Source organism: Homo sapiens, chromosome 3 (genome assembly GCF_000001405.40).
Source record: "Homo sapiens chromosome 3, GRCh38.p14 Primary Assembly".
Taxonomy (NCBI): Eukaryota; Metazoa; Chordata; class Mammalia; order Primates; family Hominidae; genus Homo; species Homo sapiens.
In genome coordinates, this window is record NC_000003.12 from 55,838,029 (window position 1) to 55,858,831 (window position 20,803).

The window sequence follows — 20,803 nt, forward strand, 5'->3', positions numbered from 1 at the left end:
CAATATTACACATTTATGTACTTAATAATAGAGCTTCAGGAAACATCAAGCAGAAACAGAATTGAAAAAAAAACATTATTTTACTTTGGACTTTAACACTTCTCTCTCAATAAGCAACAGAATAAGTAGAAAGAAAATCAACAACGGGATAGAAGATCTGTGCATTATTAACCACTTTGACTTAATTGACATTTTAGAACACTCCACTCAACAACAGCAGAATACACATTCTTTTCTAGTGCACATGGAACACTGACAAAACAGACAAATTCTGTGTCATAGAGCAAACCTCAAGAAATTTAAAAGAATAAAGATTATAAAAAGTATGTTTTCTGACCATAATAGAATAAAACTAAACATCTATACCAAGAATATATCAAGGAAAATCCCCAAATATTTGAAAATTAAATAACACACTTTTATATAATCCACAGGCTAAAAAGGAAGTCACAAGGGAAATTAGAAAATATTTTGAACTGAATGAAAACACAACATATTAAAGCATACAGAATGTAGATAAAACAGCAATTAGAGAGAAATTAATAGCACTAAATGTTTTATTAGGAAACAAGAAAGGTCTATCAATCAAATTGAAATTAGAAAAATACTAAAATCAAGGAAACAAAAAGTTTGTTCTTTGAAAAGATCACTTAAGTTGATAAATCTCTAGGCATACTGACCAAGAAAAAAAGGAAGGAAGACAGAAATTACTTGTATCAGAAAGGAAAAGACACCATCATCATTAGAAACCCTCAGACATAAATAGGGAATATTACCTACAATTCTATGTTCATAAATCTGACATTGATGAAATAAACCAGTTTCTTAAAAGAAACAAACTACAAAAGCTCACTCAAAAAGAAATAGATAACCAGAATAATGTATTAAATAATACCCTGCTACTCATGAAGGTACCATAAAATGGCAGCAACAGAAATTATAAACCCACAGATCCAAGAACTACAATAAACACCAAGCTCAAGAAACATGTGAAAAATTAAGGCAAGGAACATCATAACCAAATTACTTAAAACTAATGATAAAGAGAAATTTTAAAAGGAGTCAGAAAAAAACTTATAAAGAAACAAAGATAAGGATAACAGAAGATTTCCCACCAGACACAATAAAAGTTACAACACAGTGGAGCAACATTTTTAATATACCAAAAGAAAAAAGAATCAGCCAAACTAGGATACTCTTACTACAAAAAATTACCTTCAAACTGAAGATGAAATAAAGACTTCTTCAGCTAAAAAAAAGCTTATAGAATTCTTCACTAGTAGATCTGCACCACAAAAAAATGTTAAAGTCTTTAAGCACAAGGAATGTAATACCAAACGGATATTTTGATCCACAAAAAGGAATAAAGAGCACCAAAAATATTAACTACATGAGTAAACATAAAGATATTTTATCTCATCATTTAAACTTCTAATTAGCCATTTAAAACAAACCTAATAAAAATGTATTGTGGGGTTAATAACAAAAATTAAAATACAATATATTACAGCAAAAGCACAAAAGACAGAAAGAAAAAAATGGAAATATAATAAGATTCTTATGCTCTACATGAAATGGTATAATATTATTTGAAGATAGAGTTTAATAAGTTAAAGATACATATTATAAATCCTAAAGCAACCACCAAAATAACAAAACAAAGAGCTATGGTGAATAAATTGCCAAGATAAAGGTGAATCAATTAAAAATCCTCAATTAATCCAAATCAAGACAGTAAAAAGAGGAATTAACGAAAAGATGGGGCAAATAAAAACAAATAGCAAGATGACAGATTTAAATCTGGCCATAACAAGGAATCACATTAAATGTATTTGGTCTAAGTACCTCAATTAAAATGCAAAGATTTTCATACTGGATAAAAAAGCAAGACTCAAATATATGCAGTCTACAAGTTATCTATTGTAAATATAAAGACAGAAATAGGAAAAAAAGTAAAAAGCTGGAAAAATAAATATACTAACACTAATTAATCAAAAGAAAACTGGAGTGGCTCTATTAGTATCAAAGTTGATTTCCAAATAAAGAATATTAGCAGGGATAGGGAGGATCATTTTATATTGATAAAGGAATCATTTAACCAAGAGGACATAACAATCCTAAATGTTTATGCTCCTATTAAAAGAGCTTCAAAATAAGTAAAGCAGTCCCCACACTAGGTGAAAAGATTTATAAATCACATGTGTAATAAAGGAATCAAATATTGACTATATAAAGACCTCTCAAAACTCCAAAACAAGTAAACAAACAATACAAAATGGGCAAAATATATGAACAAACATTTCACCAAAGAATCTAACACAGGTGACAATTAGGCACATGAAAAAATGTTCAAGTTCATTAGTCTTTAGGGAAAGGCAAAATAAAACCACAATTAGATACTTCAAATCTTCACCAACACTTGGTATGGCTAAATTAAAAGGATTGACCATACCAAGTGTTGGTTAAGATTTGAAGAAACTGGAACTCTCATACACTAATGGTGGGAAAGTAAAATGGTACAACTACTTTGGAAAACAGTCAACGATTTCTTGAAAAGTCCAGCATACCCTACCATATGACTCAGTTATTCCTCTCTCAGGTATTTACACAAAAGTAAAGAAAACATTTGTGCATAAAAAGGCTTATAGAGGAATGGTCATAGTTATTTTATTTAAAATAGCCCTGAACCGGAAACAATCCAAATGTGCGGCAACAAATGAACAGACAAATGATATGCCAAACCTACTGGCATACTAGTAGGCAATAAAAAGGTATAACTATTGATTCATGTAACATGGATGAGTGAAAATAAGCAAGTCAAAAAAGAGTACATTGACGATTCCATTTACGTAAAATTCTAGGAATTGCAAACTACTATATAGCAGAGTGACATAAAGCAGATCAGTGCTTGCCTAAAGATAGAGATAGAGGGGTCATGGAGAGGTAGGAGGAATGGATTACAAAGAGGCATTAGGAAATTTGGGGTAGTAATGGATATGTTCATTAACCTGACTGCTTTACACCTGCATCCATATGTCAAAATATATCAAGTTGTATGCATGAAATATGTATAATTTATTGTATGTCAATCATACCTAAATAAATTTGTTAAAACTTCAAATAATAAACTTAAATAAAACAAATCTGGCTGACACGGTTTGGCTGTGTTCCAACCCAAATGTCATCTTGAATTGTAGCTCCCATAATTCCCATGCGTTCCATGTGAGGGACCTGGTGGGAGGTAATTGAATCATGGGGGTGGATCTTTCCTATGCTGTTCTCATGACAGTGAATAAGTCTCACGAGATCTGATGGTTTTATAAATGGGACTTCCCCTGCACACACTCTCTTGCCTGCTGCCATGTATGACATGCCTTTGCTTCTCGTTTGCCTTCTGCCATGATTGTGAGGCCTCCCCAGCCATGTAGAACTGTGAGTCCATTAAATGTCTTTCCTTTATAAATTACCCAGTCTCGGGTATGTCTTTATTAGCAGAGTGACAATAGAGTAATACACTGGCAACAACCAAAACAATACAGAAGGTACCTTTTACTAGGCATTTGCTATGTTCTAGGTGCCATACTAAATGCTTTTCATATCATCTAATTCTTTCAAAAAACATAAGGCAAGTGCTATTATGGTTTCTACATTTAAAGAGAAAGACTAAGGTAGAGAAAGGTTAAATAATTTGCCTAAGGTCACAACATTAGAAAGGGGTAAAGCTGGAATTTGATTCTAGAGTCAACAATCTTAACAAAAACACCATGAGGAAACTGAAACTCAAGGAAGGCCGCATAGTGTTGGGGATCCATCCTAGATTTGTCCAACTTCAGAGCCCAACCTCTTAATTGCTTCATTGTACTACATCTCGTCTTGAAAACATCCTGCCAAAAACCTAATAGTCAGCCTAGCCTGAACACACCTGTGCTAATTAAATGTGTATTTCCTGGTTCCCATATTCAGGAAAAAGGGGACTCACACTCAGCCTTTCTCAGTTTTCATGTAACCAACAACTGTTGCGTGAATGAATGAAGTGAAGTAACTTAAGTTAACTAGCAAAATGTCCTCACATTAAAAAAAATTAAATAAAACTGGAGGAATTTGAAGCTCAGAAAAATATTAAGAATCTGCCTAAAGCCAAACAGTGAGTTAGTAGTGGTGAAAGTGGAAGTCAAACTCAGGTTGGCTAATTCCAGAGCTAGATGACTCTGTCTCTCCAAAAAAAAGATGATCAAAATCTGCCTGCCAAAAAATTGCACCCTTTTAGACAACCATGAGTGGCTCAGAAGTGTTGAAGGGCTGCAGATGAGCTGAGACAAGCTTACAAAGGAATGTGGGTGTCCCGTTCCAGGGACACACAATGAACGTTCAGCTCTCCTTGTCTCTGAAGACAATGCATTCCAGGCTCCCAGCCCTATTTAAGAGTGGAGGGGTTCTGCTATTCAGCTGTCCGGCACCCCTGCTATCTCAAGTTTAACTAGTTATTTTCCTTTATAATTCACTGTAGACTGATAACTATTATTTCCCTGTCTAACACATACTGACAAGTGCTCTGGTTAAATATAGGTTGCTAGGAATTGGGGTGGAAATTTTTTTTTTTTAGCTCAACTTTATCAAGGGTCTGTAGACTCAGAATTCCAGAACCATCCCATTACCTCAGTGAAATTAACACATAGACTCAGTTAAAAAAAAAGAACAATTTTTGTTTTCCCAGATCTCAAGAAAGATATGGAAAGGACTGCTTGGCTTTCTGTCCTCCTATTTCTTGGTTTTAACCAAGAAACGATCAAACGTTAGAGGTTCTAACCTCTAACGATCAAAAGTGAGTTGAGGAGCTTTAAGAGATTAGTTCTATGCAGAAGGAAAGCAGGTAAGAAGGACAAGGAGTGTGTGAGAGAGAGAGAGAGAAGGAGAGATCAGAGTCCATGAATAAAAATATGCAATGTATTTATCAAGGCTCCAAACCCACATAGGACTGCTGGTTATTGTCCAATCTTCCCTTCTATAATTACGGACATTTAGCTGGCCTGTGGTATACAACAAAACACTAAATTTTCCATTTCCCCACAACACAGGATGTAGCCATGTGACTAAGTTTGGGCCAAGGTATGAGCACAGCAGTGATATACAAAGCATCCAGCCTGTGCCTTTGAAGGAGAGGAATATGGTCTCCATTACTTCTTTCTCTTCTCATGGTTGGAGCACAGACTGGATAGAGGGAGCTGGAAGAGCCATTTTGGACCAAGAGATGGAAACTGTCATGTTTTTAGGGTGGCAGAGGGATAAGATAGAAGGAACCTGGTTTCCTGTCAAACCATTTAGTCTGTCCTAGATGGCCTACACAGACTTTGATGTAGGAAGAAACTAATACATCAGATCATATGAGACTGATAATGAGGATAAAAATATTGAATGATATTGATAGAAAGGAGAATTTTATTTCATTGCCACAAACTCTTCTGGAACACTCTTCCCCAACCACCCAATGGTGCAAGTTCAAGAAGAGATCAAAAGTGTGATTTATTGTCATGGACTTAAAATCTAGAAAATATAGTCAAGTTGTTGAGCTATTTCAATTTTCCTTTGCAGCTTCTTTCTGAAGGCTTGAAATATTTTACTTTAAATGTGGAATGTTTGCAGGGAGGACTTTCCAATGCTGAAAAGCACAAGTTCTCCCATTCCTTAATCCCACTGCAAAAATGTGTGGCCCCAATGTTTCATGTCAGACCTGTTGGCTCCTTCCTTTGCAAAGGCTCCAGTTGTTACACTAAAATCACACTGGATCATATTAGCTCTCTCCTCCCAATTTCCTGTTCATAAAGCTTGGAGCCTCATCACAATGAATGTATTGTAAAAATATAGGGTAACAAATGTTTTCTGCTGGGCTTCGTAAATTGGAATGAGACAAGGATTGGGCATTTACACCCAATTTACTTCAGACTGTATTACCTATAGAATAACTTGTGAGTTCTCAGATAAAAGCAAATAATGGAAACCATGCCAAAGTAAACGAACATTTTTGAATTCCTTTCAAATATTAAATACTGATATTTTCCTCCAGAAATACAAAAATGCATAGCTGTGAGGTCCACTTTCATGCAATATGTGGCATATGCTGTCTACCACTACTGTTGAAAGGTTGAACATATGCATTCTACATATGCCTTTCTACTCCTTGGTATATCTGCAATAGAAATGTAGGCAAATGTTCATCAAAACACAGTTAGTAGAATGTCACAGCAACACTATTCATAATAGTCCCCAAATGGAAACATACATGAAAAACAGAATGGTTTAAAAGAAACATTATATAATTGAAGAATGGAATACAACAATGAGAATGAATTGACTAGAAGTACACACAACCAGATGGATGAATCTCACAAACATAATGTGTAAAATAATCCAGAAGGGAAAGAATGTTTGCTGTATGATTTCATTAACATCCAGTTCAAAGCCAGGCAAAATTAATCTATGGTGTGAGAAATCATAATAATTATTATCTTTGAGAGAAAAAATGACTAGGAAGGCAAGACTTCTACAGTGCTCAAGATGTTCTGTTTTTTAATCTAGACATTAGTTACATGGGTGTGTTCACTTTGTGAAAATGTACAAAGGTGAAGTCATATGATTTGTACACTTTCATGCATGCATGCTATATCTCAATTTAAAAAAATTAAAGGGATACATGAATTCAAAATGTCACAATTGTTATAACACCAAAATAAAAGTGTGAAAAGATTGCTACTACCCTTCATCTAAGACATTTACACTAAAAAATACTATGGACATATCTATGAAAATGAATAAGCTACATCAGAGGATAAAAAGAGACCCTATAGGGCAGCAGTCCCCAGCTTTTTTTGGCACCAGGGACTGGTTTCAAGGAAGACAAGTTTTCCACAGACCAGTGAGGGGGTAGTTTCAGAATGAAAGTGTTCTACCTCAGATCATCAGGCATTAGATTCTCATAAGGAGCACTCAACCCAGGTTCCTCATGAGACACAATAGGGCTCACACTCCTATGAGAATCTAATGCCACCACTGATCTGATAGGAGGCGGAGCTCAGGCAGTAATGCTCGCTCACCTGCCACTCATCTCCTGCTGTGCAACCTGGTTCCTAACAGGACATGGATCAGTATTGATCCAGCCCAGGGCTTGGGGACTCCTGTTATTAAAAATAGGCAAAAATGGGCCAGGCGCGGTGGCTCACGCCTGTAATCCCAGCACTTTGGGAGGCCGAGGCGGGCGGATCACGAGGTCAGGAGATCGAGACCATCCCGGCTAAAACGGTGAAACCCCGTCTCTGCTAATAATACAAAAAATTAGCCGGGCGTAGTGGCGGGCGCCTGTAGTCCCAGCTGCTTGGGAGGCTGAGGCAGGAGAATGCCGTGAACCCGGGAGGCGGAGCTTGCAGTGAGCCGAGATCCCGCCACTGCACTCCAGCCTGGGCGACAGAGCGAGACTCCGTCTCAAAAAAAAAAAAAAAAAAAAAAAGGCAAAAATGGAAAAGTAGGACTTCTTTTTTTAGGAAAATCTGCCAACAACATTTGGGTCTAATTCTAAAAACATAATTCAACCCCAACTGTTTTACTTACAAGTAGCAATTTTCACTCTTAAACCTTGCCATTTGAATTACTTAGAATCCATTTTTTGCAATGAGTCTGAATCTATAAGCCAGAGTCCATTGGCGTATAATGAATGCCTGGAACACCAGATTCAAGAAGCTACTTGCCTGTAAAGGCAAGACAATAACTCAGCTCACAGGAGACCAACTAAATTTTTCAATAAGGCAGCCATGTACACCAAAGGTTGTGCAAATAGAGCAAGCAACTGATGAAGTTCAGACTAAACACAAATATATTAGCAAACACCACTGGGGACAGAAAGTTATAAGGAATATCCCAGAAAGAAGGGCAGCCTCTGAGTTGGAAATGACTTCTTACAAGGATTGATATTATATCATTCTTTTTTTAACTTTTAAGTTGGGCGGTACATGTGCAGTTTCGTTATATAGGTAACCTCATGTCACAGGGATTTATTGTACAGATTATTTCATCACCCAAGTGCTAAGCCTAATACCCAATAGTTATTTTTTCTGCTCCTCTCCCTCATCCTACACTTTACCTTCAAGTAGGTTCCAGAGTCTGTTGTTTCCTTCTTTGTATCAATGTGTTCTCATCATTTGGCTCCCTCTTATAAATGAGAACATATGGTATTTGGTTTTCTCTTCCTGCCTTAGTTTGCTAAGAATAATGGCCTCTAGCTCTATCCATGTTCCTGCAAAGGATATGATCTCATTCTTTTTTATGGCTACATAGTATTCTATGGTGAATATTTACTACATTCTCTTTATCCAGTCTACCACTGATGGGCATCTAGGTTGATTCCATGTCTTTGCTATTGTGTACAGTGCTGGAATGAACATTTGTGTGCACATGCCTCTATGGTAGAAAGATTCATATTCTTTTGGATATATACCCAGTAATGAGATTGCTGGGTCAAATGGTAGTTCTGTTTTTAGCTCTTTGAGGAGTTGCCATACTGCTTTCCACAATGATTGAACTAATTTATACTCCCACCAACAGCGTATAAGTGTTCCCCTTTCTCTGATATAAGTGTTATTTCATCCTTATTCATTCTCTCTCTCTCTCTCTCTCTCTTTCTCTCTCTCTCTCTCTCTCTCTCTCTGCATTGGTTCTGATTTCAGGTTACGTCTGCATTATGTGTTTTGTCAGGAGAAGGGATTTCAGAGAGATGTCAGGTTTCCATTTCAAGATATTCAAAGCCCTTAATGAGATATTTGCCTGCCCTGCCACTGGGAAACTCAGCAGAAAGCTTGCACAGTTTGTAGGGTAAATGGCAAAGCACAAGTGAGCAAGTTCCAGACCCACTGCTTCATACATCTGCCTGTTATTTGTGGAGGTAATAGAAGGTCTTCTTAGGCCTGACCTGGAAACCAGAAACCATGAAGAAATGATTGGCAGATGGGAAAACATAAATGTCAAAAAGGCAAATGTACATAACACCCACAACACAAACACGCTGGGAAAATATTTTCAATGTTTCTAACAAAGGATATATATCTTTAATATACAAATAGATTTATCAGATGTGCCATTGGATCAAAGATCAAAGGGGAAAATGAGGCAATTCACAAAGGAAAAAGTATAAATGGGAGAACTTTACAGGCTTATAAGTTATAAACCTATAAAGCTTTTCCCATTGGACATAAATTAATTAAATGAGGATTTTCACCCTCCTTTTTATTGAGAGGGAGGGGAGCCTTCCACATTAAAATGATTTTGAAAATTGCCAAAGTCACTATTGGCAAAATGTTTAGGAATGGACTACCTCATATGAATTCATAGTCATATGCGAGGGCTTGAAATGTGTGATCTCTAACAGCAAGACCGGGAGATACACTTGACATCCATTCACAGGGAGTAGTTGAATAAATCACGATGCCACAGATAAAAGTAGAGTGCTCCACAGCTATTAAAAACAATGAGGTAAAGCTGTGCATCATCACCAGCATTGAAACTAATGCTATGCTGGGAACCAAGCTGACTGTAGTAGCAAGTACTATTTTACCACTTTCATATAAAATTATATACATATGGTGCCGGGAGGACAGATGAAAAAAAGAAGGAAGAAAGGAAAGAGAAAAAGAAAGGAAGTTTCAATTATTAAAATGTTAACAATGATTATCTCTGCATGGTGGCAATTTGGGTGATTCTCACTTCATTGCTTATACATTTCTGAATTACTACTATTATTATTATTTTTGAGACAGAGTCTCACTGTAGCACAGGCTGGAGTGCGGTGGTGCGATCACAGCTCACTGCAGCCTTGACCTCCTGGGCTCAAATGATCCTCCTGCCTCAGCCTCCCAATCAGCTGTAACCACAGATGTGCCACCACGCCTGGCTAATTATTTTATTTTTTGTAGAGATAGGGTCTCGCTATGTTGCCCAGGCTGGTCTCCAACCTCTGGGCTCAAGCATTTTTGCCACCTCGGCCTCCCAAAGTGCTGGGATTACAGGCATGAGCCACCAAGCCCCAGCTAGGATATTATCACTTTGAAAAAAAACAAAACGTAACCAAAAATAACAAAACTAAGTAACTGAAAAAACTTCAGACTCCCTAGGAGCTCATATTTATGCATCATCTGAAGCCGTCTTGTCCTCCTTCTGCCTTTTCTTCCAAAGTCAATCTGTTTCCATATCCTATTAATTTTACTCACTCAATAGGTATTTTATGAAGCTCCTGTGTTCTCTCTCCTCCCTCTTTTTCCTAATTATTCTTCTCCACCAGGATCTATCTCCACCACTGCCCACTTGGGCCATCGCCTAAGCCTCTTAACTTATGCCTGTGTTTTCTACTGACTTCTGCTCCCATTCATCCTTCACACCGCAGAGGCATCCTCGCATTACACTTTTAAAAGCCTTCCATGTTTCCCTGTGGCTCCAAATTCCTTATGGTGGCATTCCAACTTGCTGGCCCATACTGGCACCTCCGCCGTCATCTCCCCTGCATTCACTCCTATCCATTCTCAACTCCCAATAATTGCTTGCTCCGAGGATGACTCACCATTCTCTAAGCTCACCACATATGTTTTTATATTTCTATATAGTTGGTCATCTTGTCCTCTAAGAAGCTAATGCCTGATTTCCCTGATTATGGAAGGGAAGTTTCCTGATTGTGGAAACTGATTATTTTCCAAGATTCAGATCAAACTGAATCTCCTCTAATAGCCCTTGCTCAATCTTTTTGTTTTTGTTTGGGGAAACAAAACAAAACAAAAAACAATCACCTTTCTTAGTCACTATTTCATTCTTCTAAGTGTGCCCACATCTTCTTCACTACAGTGTGGAGCTTTTGTGAGTGGAGGCAGTTTTTTTGTTGTTGTTGTTCAACTTTTTGATACCCTAACATGCCTAGTACCAGTTTTTCACATCTTAGGCACTTAAATATTTTTTTTCAAAAAACAGAGACAGTGCCTGCCATCTGCCAGGCTCTATGGTAGGTGAGTCCACAGTCAACTGTTCTCAAAACATGGTCTGCATTCTGGGCACAGTCACTCTCATTTTCTATGTGGACAAAACTGAGGCCAAGAGATTCAGTAACTTGCCACAGACCACACAGTAATGGCAGATCTGAGATAAGAGTCCCGGACCACCATATGAATCCAGATTCTTTTGACTGATCTGTGCTTCTTCTGCACATATGTATATGGAGCTGGACTGATCTGGACATGTAGGAAGTGCTGACTCCTAAAATCCATTTTTCTAACTAAGAAGTGTTCAATGTATTCCCAGGTTTTAAAATGTCTATTTGCTTTAGGCCAGCTGAAGCATCATCTATACCCTGGACCTGTGGTTTCTCTAAGCTTCTATCACCCCAAGAACGTCAGTGCTTGGGGGTCTGTCTCCAGGTTAACATCCTCTTTGCACATTTTAAGATTTTTTCCCAGAGCTCACTTTTTCTAGAATTCAACTCCCTGCCTTCTCTCAAATTTGGATGTAATAGCTGGCACCGACGCAGGAGGATGCCTTGTCCATTCTACTGTCAGCCATTCTATTTCCATATCAACAAATGCCCATGCCCCTCTTCAATTTTTACATTCTAATGATTTCAAATTTAAATCTTCCAAGGACTAAGTTGAGGGAAAAATAGTCCAAAGAACAAGCCACTTGCCACCATCAGAGGTAACAGTGCTTCTGGGTAGCCTGAGATTCTGTTTGACTTCATCAAAGTCCACAAATTCCAGGACTGCCCAAATTAGGAGACAGCCAAGGAATTGATCTTCACCTTAAAAACAACAACAATAATAATGCCAATACCCAACTGTATTAGTTTCCTAGGATTGCCATAATAAATTACCGCTATGGTAACTTAAAACAACAAAAGTTTATCATCTTACAGTTCTGGAGGCCAGAAGTCCAAAATCAAGATGTCAGCAGAGTTGGTTCCTTCTGGAGGCCCTGATGGAGAAACCATTCCATGCTTTTTCCTAATTTCTGGTGATGGCCAGCAATCCTTGACATTGTTTGACTTACAGATGCATTACTTCTCTGCCTCCACAATCTCTGCCTCCAACTTCATGCGAACTTCTGGTCTGTGTCTCTGTGTATCTTCTTCTTTTCTGTCTCATAAGAACATCTGTCATTGGATTTAGGGCCCATCCAAATATAGGATGTTCTCATCTTGAGATACTTACATTAATTACATCTGAAAAGACCCTTATTCTGAATAAAGTCCATTCTGAGGTTCCAGGTGGACATATCTTTTAAAGGCTTTCATTCAACTCACAAACCAACACTGGTTGAAAGTTCACTGTGTAACAGGCACCATTCTAAATAATGTGTATTAAGTCATTTTATCTTTACAATAACTGGAAGAAGTAAGTAACTATTTATAGAGGAAGAAGATAAAGACATAGGAAGGCCTCCCAATCTTCCTAAGACCTCATGGGTGGTAAAAGACAGAGCTAGTACTTAGGTGTTCATCTTCTTCATACCAGGGTCAACTGTTTTAGATGCATTTACCAGAATCAAAGTGTCTAAATAACAGCCAAGACCACTCCTAGAGAGTCACACTGTTAATCTAAAATCCCTGAACTAGAGAATGTTGGAAAATATATAACATATGGGCCATTGCAGCTTCTACCCAATGATGTCAGACATCACTAATTGATCACAGAGTTGTTCCCTATGGCACCTTAAATGTTTACAACATTCATTATCCATCAGTTCAAGGTAGCACTCTGAATGAAACCTCCTGACCATCCTGTTTCTAGATACTCTTTTTCAAACACACACACACACACACACACACACACACACACACACACACACACGAGAGAACCAAAGGGCAACATTTGGTCTCTTCCTGTCAAGTTCCTGTCCTGCCTTCTAGCCTGACTTCCCCTGGGACTTGTATTTGCCTTCCAAGTCTGATTGACAGAGCAAGACTGGATCCCATCAAATAGCCTGGAGAGCCAGACAGAAGTCCATGCTCAAAATCCAGACCCCATCAGATGTTGTTTGAAATTCAGAGACTGCAGAGACTGCTGGCACATTCTTGGAAAAGCTCTGACCTTGGGAAGAAAACTTACTTCCATCTCTAAGAAAAAATACTAGATAATGATTTTTTTAAGCCCATGCTGGGAGTTGGTGGCAGGATGAGAATGCACATGGTAACAGGACAACAGTGGGTACTGGCCTGGAGCAGGCTCCTACGTGGCCTCCCCAGAGTCCAGGCTTTATTCTCAGCATTCTCTATGGTCCAGCCTCTCTCCACTTAAACTACACTTCAGATAATGGTGTTTGCTACAACTCTTTACAATCAATTATTTTGTCATTGTCTTTATTTAAACATGTACACACACACACAACTAGAGGGAATGCACTGGAGAATGACACACAACGCATTCCAAGGAAATAACAAAATTTTTTCTGGCTTGCGTGCCCAACCCACAAACTTGAAGATCACCAGGGCTTTATTTAGTTTGGTTCCCATTATCATTATGTGAGGCATGTTAATAACTGGACTCCAGAGCTTTGGTTTTAGATACTTGTTCCTCACCTCTCTCATCTAGAGTTTTAAAAAATAGTTTTTATTATAAATACATATTTTTTGCTTTTCCTGCCCACCTAACTTTTAAAAAATCCAAAAATCCCATCTACTCTCATTAGAGTTGACCACAACAAAACTGCATGAGAAAAAAAAAAAAAGAATCCTTTGGATCACATGGGTGTCACACCATTGTTGGCCATGGGAGCTCAGCCTAATAAGGAGAAGATATGACAACAGAGAGAGCCCAGGGTCTTGGGCCCTTTGCACAGAACATGGTGTCCTTACTGGCAGTTTGTTTTAGGCTTAACATATTAATTTATTGCTAAAACAGGCCGGGTACAGCGGCTCACGCCTGTTACCCCAGCACTTTGGGAGGCCAGGCGGGTGGATCACTTGAGGTCAGGAGTTTGAGACCAGCCTGACCAACATGGTGAAACCTCATCTCTACTAAAAATACAAAATTAGCTGGCGTGGTGGCGCATTCTTCTAATCCCAGCTACTCAGGAGGCTGAGGCAGGAGAATTGCTTGTACCCGGGAGGCGGAGGTGGCAGTGAACTGAGATCGCACCACTACACTCCAGCCTGGGTGACAGGGTGAGTCTCTGTCTCGAAAACAAAACAAAACAAAAAAACTGATGTAGTAAAATGTGCTTTACAGTAATTACACCACAAGAATAAACTACTAGCTTAGAATTATTTGTTGTATTTCACTAATGCCAAAGACATAGATTTTTATATGTAATACAAATCCCTTATTTTATAGGTAAGATAAATATGGCCCAGAGGGATAATCAGAACTACCAAATGTCACATAGCCACTTAGTAACAGAAGAGGCACAACAGCAAGTTCTCCTAGTTACAGCTCTACACCTCATGACCTCCATGGAGCCATCCAACCTGACCACCGGGTTATCTACAAGGGAATTTTTTAAATTAAAAAAAAATTCCCTTGTAGATAATCTAGTGATCGGGTTAAAAATTCCTTTAAAAAAATCTTGCAGCAGAATTAATGAGGGTAAAGGTACATGGATTCTTTTCTTTTGACTCCTTCCATTTTTATACCTGAAGTTACTCCATGAGAGGAGGAACTCAGTCTGCATTTACTCATAACTGAACTCTCAACATTTAAGACATTTCACTAAATTAGTAATAAATTGATGGCAGCATAGAAATTTGTTTCAAAATTACTCAATAAAAATACATACTGCATTTTTCTCCAGATATTCCCCCCTAAATTATTGGCATAGTCATTAGCCCTTTATAGGAGTTTTTGAATTTGGCACCTTGACATTTGGATGGGCTAATACTCTGTTGCAGGAGGCTGTCCTGTGCACTACAGAATGTTTAGTAGCATCGCTGGCCTCTGCCCTATACATGCCAGTAGCATACCTTCTGGTTCCTCCCCATCCCACTGTCCAGTTTTAACAACGAAAAATGTCTCCAGTTGTCAAATATTCCTGGGTCAGGGTTGGGGTGGGTTGTGGAGCACAATCGCCCCTGGTTGAGAACTCCTGATCTAAGGTGACAGCATATCCACCCACCCTCGACCGTCCAACCATGTGATTCATGGGACATGGAAGCTTGATGAATCAACCAACTGAAAATTAAAAGATACACATAGAAAGCACTCAGGAGGCTGGGTGTGGTGGCTCATGCCTGTAATCCCAACACTTTGAGAGGCTGAGGTGGGAAGAACACTTGAGCTCAGGACTTCAAGACCCACCTGGGTAATATAGTGAGACCCTGTCTCTACAAAACATTAAAAATTAACCAGGCATAGTGGTAGCATCTACAATCCCAGCTACTTGGGAGGCTGAGAGGGGAGGATGACTTGAGCCCAGGAGGTTGAGGCTGCCATGAGTGTCATGATTGTGCCACTGCACTCCAGCCTGGGAGACAGAGTGAGACCCTGTCTCAAATAAACAAAGAAAAAAAAAGAAAGCACTAGCACTCAGGAAATATAAGTATGAATTGAATTAGATATACTCTAATCTGCTTATTTCAAACATCATCACTTTTGAAGACATTATGCTAAGTGAAATAAGCTGGTCACAAAAGGTCAAATATTGTATGATTCCACTTACTTGAAATACTTAGAGGAGTCAAATTCACAGACAAAGTATAATGTCGGCTGCCAGGGGCCAGGGAGAGGAGGAACGTGCAGTTATTATAGAATGAGTGCAGAGTTTCAGTTTGGGAACATGAAAAGAATTACAGAAGTGGGTGGTGGTGATGGCTGCACAACAATGTGAATGTACTTAACACTACTAAGCTGGACACTTGAAAACAGTGAAAATGATAAATTTTATGTTACATGCTTTGACCACAAGGCCTAAATTAGACCAAATTATCACAAGGCCTAATTCCACAAAGCACGAAGCAGGCCCAGCGCGGCGGCTCACACCTGTAATCCCAGCACTTTGGGAGACCGAGGAGGGCCGATCACCTGAGGTAAGGAGTTTGAAACCAGTCTGGCCAATATGGTAAAAACCCGTCGCTACTAAAAATACAAAAATTAGCTGGGCATGGTGGCAGGCGCCTGTAGTCCCAGCTACTTGGGAAGCTGAGGCACGAGAATCGCTTGAATCCGGGAGGCGGAGGTTGCAGTGAGCTGAGATTGCGCCACTGCACTCCAGCCCAGGTGTCAGAGTGAGACTCCATCCCAGGGGAAAACAAAATAAAGCACAAAGCACCTAGATAAGATTTAAAATCCCCACATTCTCCCATAAACTTGAGTTTTTGCTTTTGTAGTTGTTTTGTTTTGTTTTGTTTTGGTTTTGGTTTGGTTTGGTTTGGTTTGGTTTGACAATAAATTCCTTAGCTAAGGAATCCAAAAGCTAAGAAAATCTTCCTCTTCATTTGTGGCTGAGAGCACAGGAGCAGCAGAGACAACCGCGGCTCTGGGGCCTGCTGCAGAGCAGCACAGGCACACACCAGGACATGGGCCCTCAGGGAGGCCCCCTGATTTAAGAGTCTTCTCGTGTGAAATGCATCCAGCCCAGATCCCCTAAGGACCTGGCCTGTGGGTCATGTCAGCCCAGAGCCCTTCCTATTGCCAGGATGCTCTTGACAAAAGACAGTCTGGCACGGAGCAGCAGGGCCATTATTTTCATTTAAACCATACATGTCATGTCCTGTTTGTGAGAAACATGTTAAACAATTCAGAAACACATTCACAATGGGCTCTGGAGTGGGATTCGCATTCCTATGGGCCTGCATACTGTAAACTGGGGATGGGGAAGGAGGCTGGTGGGGAGGGTGGGATGGTGCCTCTGCTCTTGTTTTAACAGAGAGCTCCTCCCCGGAAGCTCAGCTGTAAATAGAGACCCTCACATCCTTGTTTGATGTGGGTCTTAAAGTTTTCCTATGGCCAAAAGCACGATGCTCAAAGTATGATAAGCCCCCCATTATCCATGGCAGCCCAGTAACTTGAATTCCTTTAAGATTCTCTCTTACCAATGTTTATTTTAATTTTGAGAAGGAAAACAATTCCACTAAGGAAACACTCAAAAGGAGGTGAACTGCCCCATTTCCACCTAGATTGCCACAGCAGATGATCCACCTGCAATGACTAAAAGGCATCTCAGAGGTGTAAACCATACCAATATGACTGAAATCTGCGATCCTGAGCCACCCCATCACAAGAGTGTCTCAGATGGAAATGTACACACCTATAACACACAAGATGAGAAATTCCTCATTCACTGATGAAAGGAATAAATAATAAACATGGAGAAAATCACATTCAGTCAAGTGTAATTTGATTTACAACGCTGTTCACTTACCAAACATACAGTATTTATATGCAAACTTCCAAGAAAAGTACATTCTAATATATTAAAATTAGACCCCAAATCCAGGCCTTTGGCCAAGTCAAATAATAAACAGTGTGATAACTACGTCTGCTTTCTTGCCATGACATTTCTTTGGTAGGGGGGGATGATTTACCATTTAAACCATACATATCACATCCTGTGGAAGTTTTTGAAAAATTGAACAATTTCCTCTAAATGCTTAAAGGCAGATTAACTATAAAGAAAAACAGAATCAAACAGAATAAAAGTACTGTAGAACCCATTAAAACATTAAAGGAAACTATATAGCTTATTAGAACAAATGTGGAGCTAGCAGATTTAAACAATACCTGCAAGGATTTGTCAGAGATATAAAAGCAAATGCTAGAATGCCTTATTTCCCTTCCCATGGGACTCATACTTTCTTTGTTGAAATATACAAAAATTCTGCAGTAATTTAAATTTTACTTTGGCTTTACATAAAAAGGTGTCCCTGGCCTCTTAAATGTAACTGGTGAATAATAATATATTTGGCCATCGACCTCCAGGCTGCAGCAGTCCATTCTTTCCTCTCTTGCCCCTGTCTGTCAAAGTAGAGATGAACACTGAGCCTCTGAGAAAGATGGAGCTCAGGCTCTTCTTGGCACCACTAAAAAGAACTTCATCTTTGCCTTGACTACAAATGCAAGAGGATTCCTGTCACAGACAGAACGGATTCTCTTGATAACAATAATCAGCATTAAAACTAAACTCAGGCCTGTGGTTGGTTAAGTCACCCCAGTTTTGTGTCTTTAGACATTAGCCAGGCAGCAGGCTTGGTAGGGCCCACCAATGCTCCAGTGATACTAAGGAACAGCTCTCTTGCTTGAGTGATCGATCTGCTAGGGCATATTCCACCCAGAGAAGGGTTTGAAAGAGAGAAAGACCAAACGATAAACTATAGATCAGGAAGAATTTTGTGACTCGTCCAATGCAGAACAGAACACCATTCATTCTTCATCAACTAATTCATTCAATCGGCGCTGTTCTGAGCACCGGAGATATAGCCCAGGCTCTCCCAGAGCTTTGATTACATAAAGAAGACTACAGACAATGAAAAAATAAACAAAACATATATATACACACACATATACACATATATGTATAAAGACACACATGTATATGTCTCTGCGTGTATATATACATACACATACAATATAATGCATATATACACAATATGATACACACACATACGGTGATGGTAAATGTTAAAAAGAAAAATATCTATACCCAAGAGAAATGAAAACACATATCCACATAAAAACTTGCACATGAATGTTCATAGTAGTATTATTCATAATAGCTAAAGAGCGGAAAAAATCCAAATGCCCATCAGCTAGTGAATAAACAAAATGTGATATATCTGTTCAATAGAATATTATTTGGCAATAAAAAGAAATGAAGCATTAATACATGCTACAACATGCAGAAACCTTGAAAACATTATGCTCTATGAAACAAGACAAACACAAAAGGCCACATATTGTATGATTCCATTTATATGGAATGTCCAGTATAGGAAAACCATACAGACAGAAAGTAGATTAGTAGTTGCCAGAGACTAAGGAAAAGGGGTAATAGACAGTAATTGCTTAATGAGTATGAGTATTTTTTTGGGGGTGGGGGTGGTTCTAGAATTAGATAGTGGTGATGGGTTGTACTGCAAAATAAATGTACCAAAAATCACTGAATTGTATACTTTATATTGGTTACAAGGGTGAATTTTATTTCAATTTTATAAATGTTAAAAAAGAAAAATAAAACAGAGAGGGTACGAGGACAGAGGGTGACAGGGAAGACACTATTTAGCTAATGTGGTCAGAAAGTGTCTTGGATAAGCTGACAGTGAAGCAAAGACCAGAATGTAATAAGGTTATGAGCCAGAAAGATACCCGCATCTTTGTTCTCTGCCATTTCTGTCTTTGTCTCTCCCTCTCCCTCTCCCTGTATCATTTTTTTTAATTGTGGCAAATAGATGTAACACAAAAGTTGTCACTTTAACCATTTTTAAATATACAATTCAGTGGCATCAATCACATTCATAGTGTTGTACAACCACCACTATTATCTAAAACTTTTTATCACCTCCAAGAAAATTGCTATTCTTCTTTTAATGCTACTGTCAGGCCACTAATACAGAAAACAAAACAAAACAAAAACCATGACTAATAACTAGCAAGAAAAAAGGTGAGCTGGGAGCATACTTTCATTGCTGTTCAGTAAAGGGTAAATGATGATGATTACAATTGTTTTACATAGGCTACTCAGGCTCCTTGGAGAGAGAGAAAGCTGGGTATGGTGGAAAAAGAGATGTCTGGCAAGATCAGCCTTGTAGTGAGAAGGTCCTTCCCTCATCATGAAACACTCGATTTTCAATGATTTGCTGACTCATCAAGTGTGGACCCTCATCTCTGAAATGGTTGGGTACCTCTTCACATCCCATCTATTCTACGGAATGGACAGCCATCCAACCAAATCTAGGTCTACAAACTCCCAGCCTCTCCTTCACCTGCTCCCCAAATGGTACATAACCTCAAAAAATACAACAGAACTATTTTGCTATAACTTGGCATTAAGCCTTAATAATTTATAGAAAGAGCAGTAATTTTTTTCTCCTGAAACTTGTGACATATAAATATATGTATATACATATACATGCATACACACATAGACACATATGCCATAACTAAACCTCTATTTTAAAAAGGAGACATACGCTACTTAAAGATAAAAACAAGTAAAGATGGCTAACATTTTATTAGTTTGAACTAATATGAGTTGGTTCCTATTAAACACAGCATTCTCAGCTTTATTTTCTCATAATGTCATTCTTACTCTGAGCTATAACCCTGTTTATATATTACATGTCTTTGTTACATGTAAGAAGGAATTTAAATTTACAATGCTGGCAGGAGAAATGGATATATTAACTCTAAAATAAAAGCTCTTATTCAACATACTTAAAAGTACTTAAAACACTACTGATAGTAAGCTGCCACGAGGCAATGTGTGATCTACATGACTCTGAGCAAAAATATTTAAAGGAGGCTCTGATGCCTATCACAAAAGCACACTGCTGCTCACAATGAAACAGAAGATAGGTATCACAGCCCTCTGAGAAGCATCCAAGTGCAAGCAGTAGGTGTGTCCTATCTTAAAGTGCTCTGATTTACAAAGTCAGAAGAAACATTTTGATTCAAAATACAAGTCTCTATATTGTAGAGCAAGACAAAAATACTCTGCAACACACCTAGGCTGAAAATACCACAAATGTAATTCCTAGGTGATCTCCTTTACAGCAGGCGCATCACATAGCTGACAGAGTAGGCAGGGTCCGGGCCAGCCTCAACACCACTCTCTGCTTTAGAGCTGGGCAGCTGGATTCTGT

General features: G+C 38.6%; 1 protein-coding gene and 1 non-coding gene across 21 annotated transcripts in view; both read right to left on the bottom strand.

Annotated features, from left to right (window-relative positions):
* Window positions 1-20,803, bottom strand: part of ERC2 (ELKS/RAB6-interacting/CAST family member 2) — a 960,157-nt gene that overhangs the window by 329,718 nt on the left and 609,636 nt on the right. The window lies entirely within an intron of this gene.
* On the bottom strand, window positions 14,464-14,566 carry MIR3938 (microRNA 3938). The gene has a single exon (NR_037502.1). It is a non-coding gene; the product is annotated as a microRNA 3938 (primary transcript).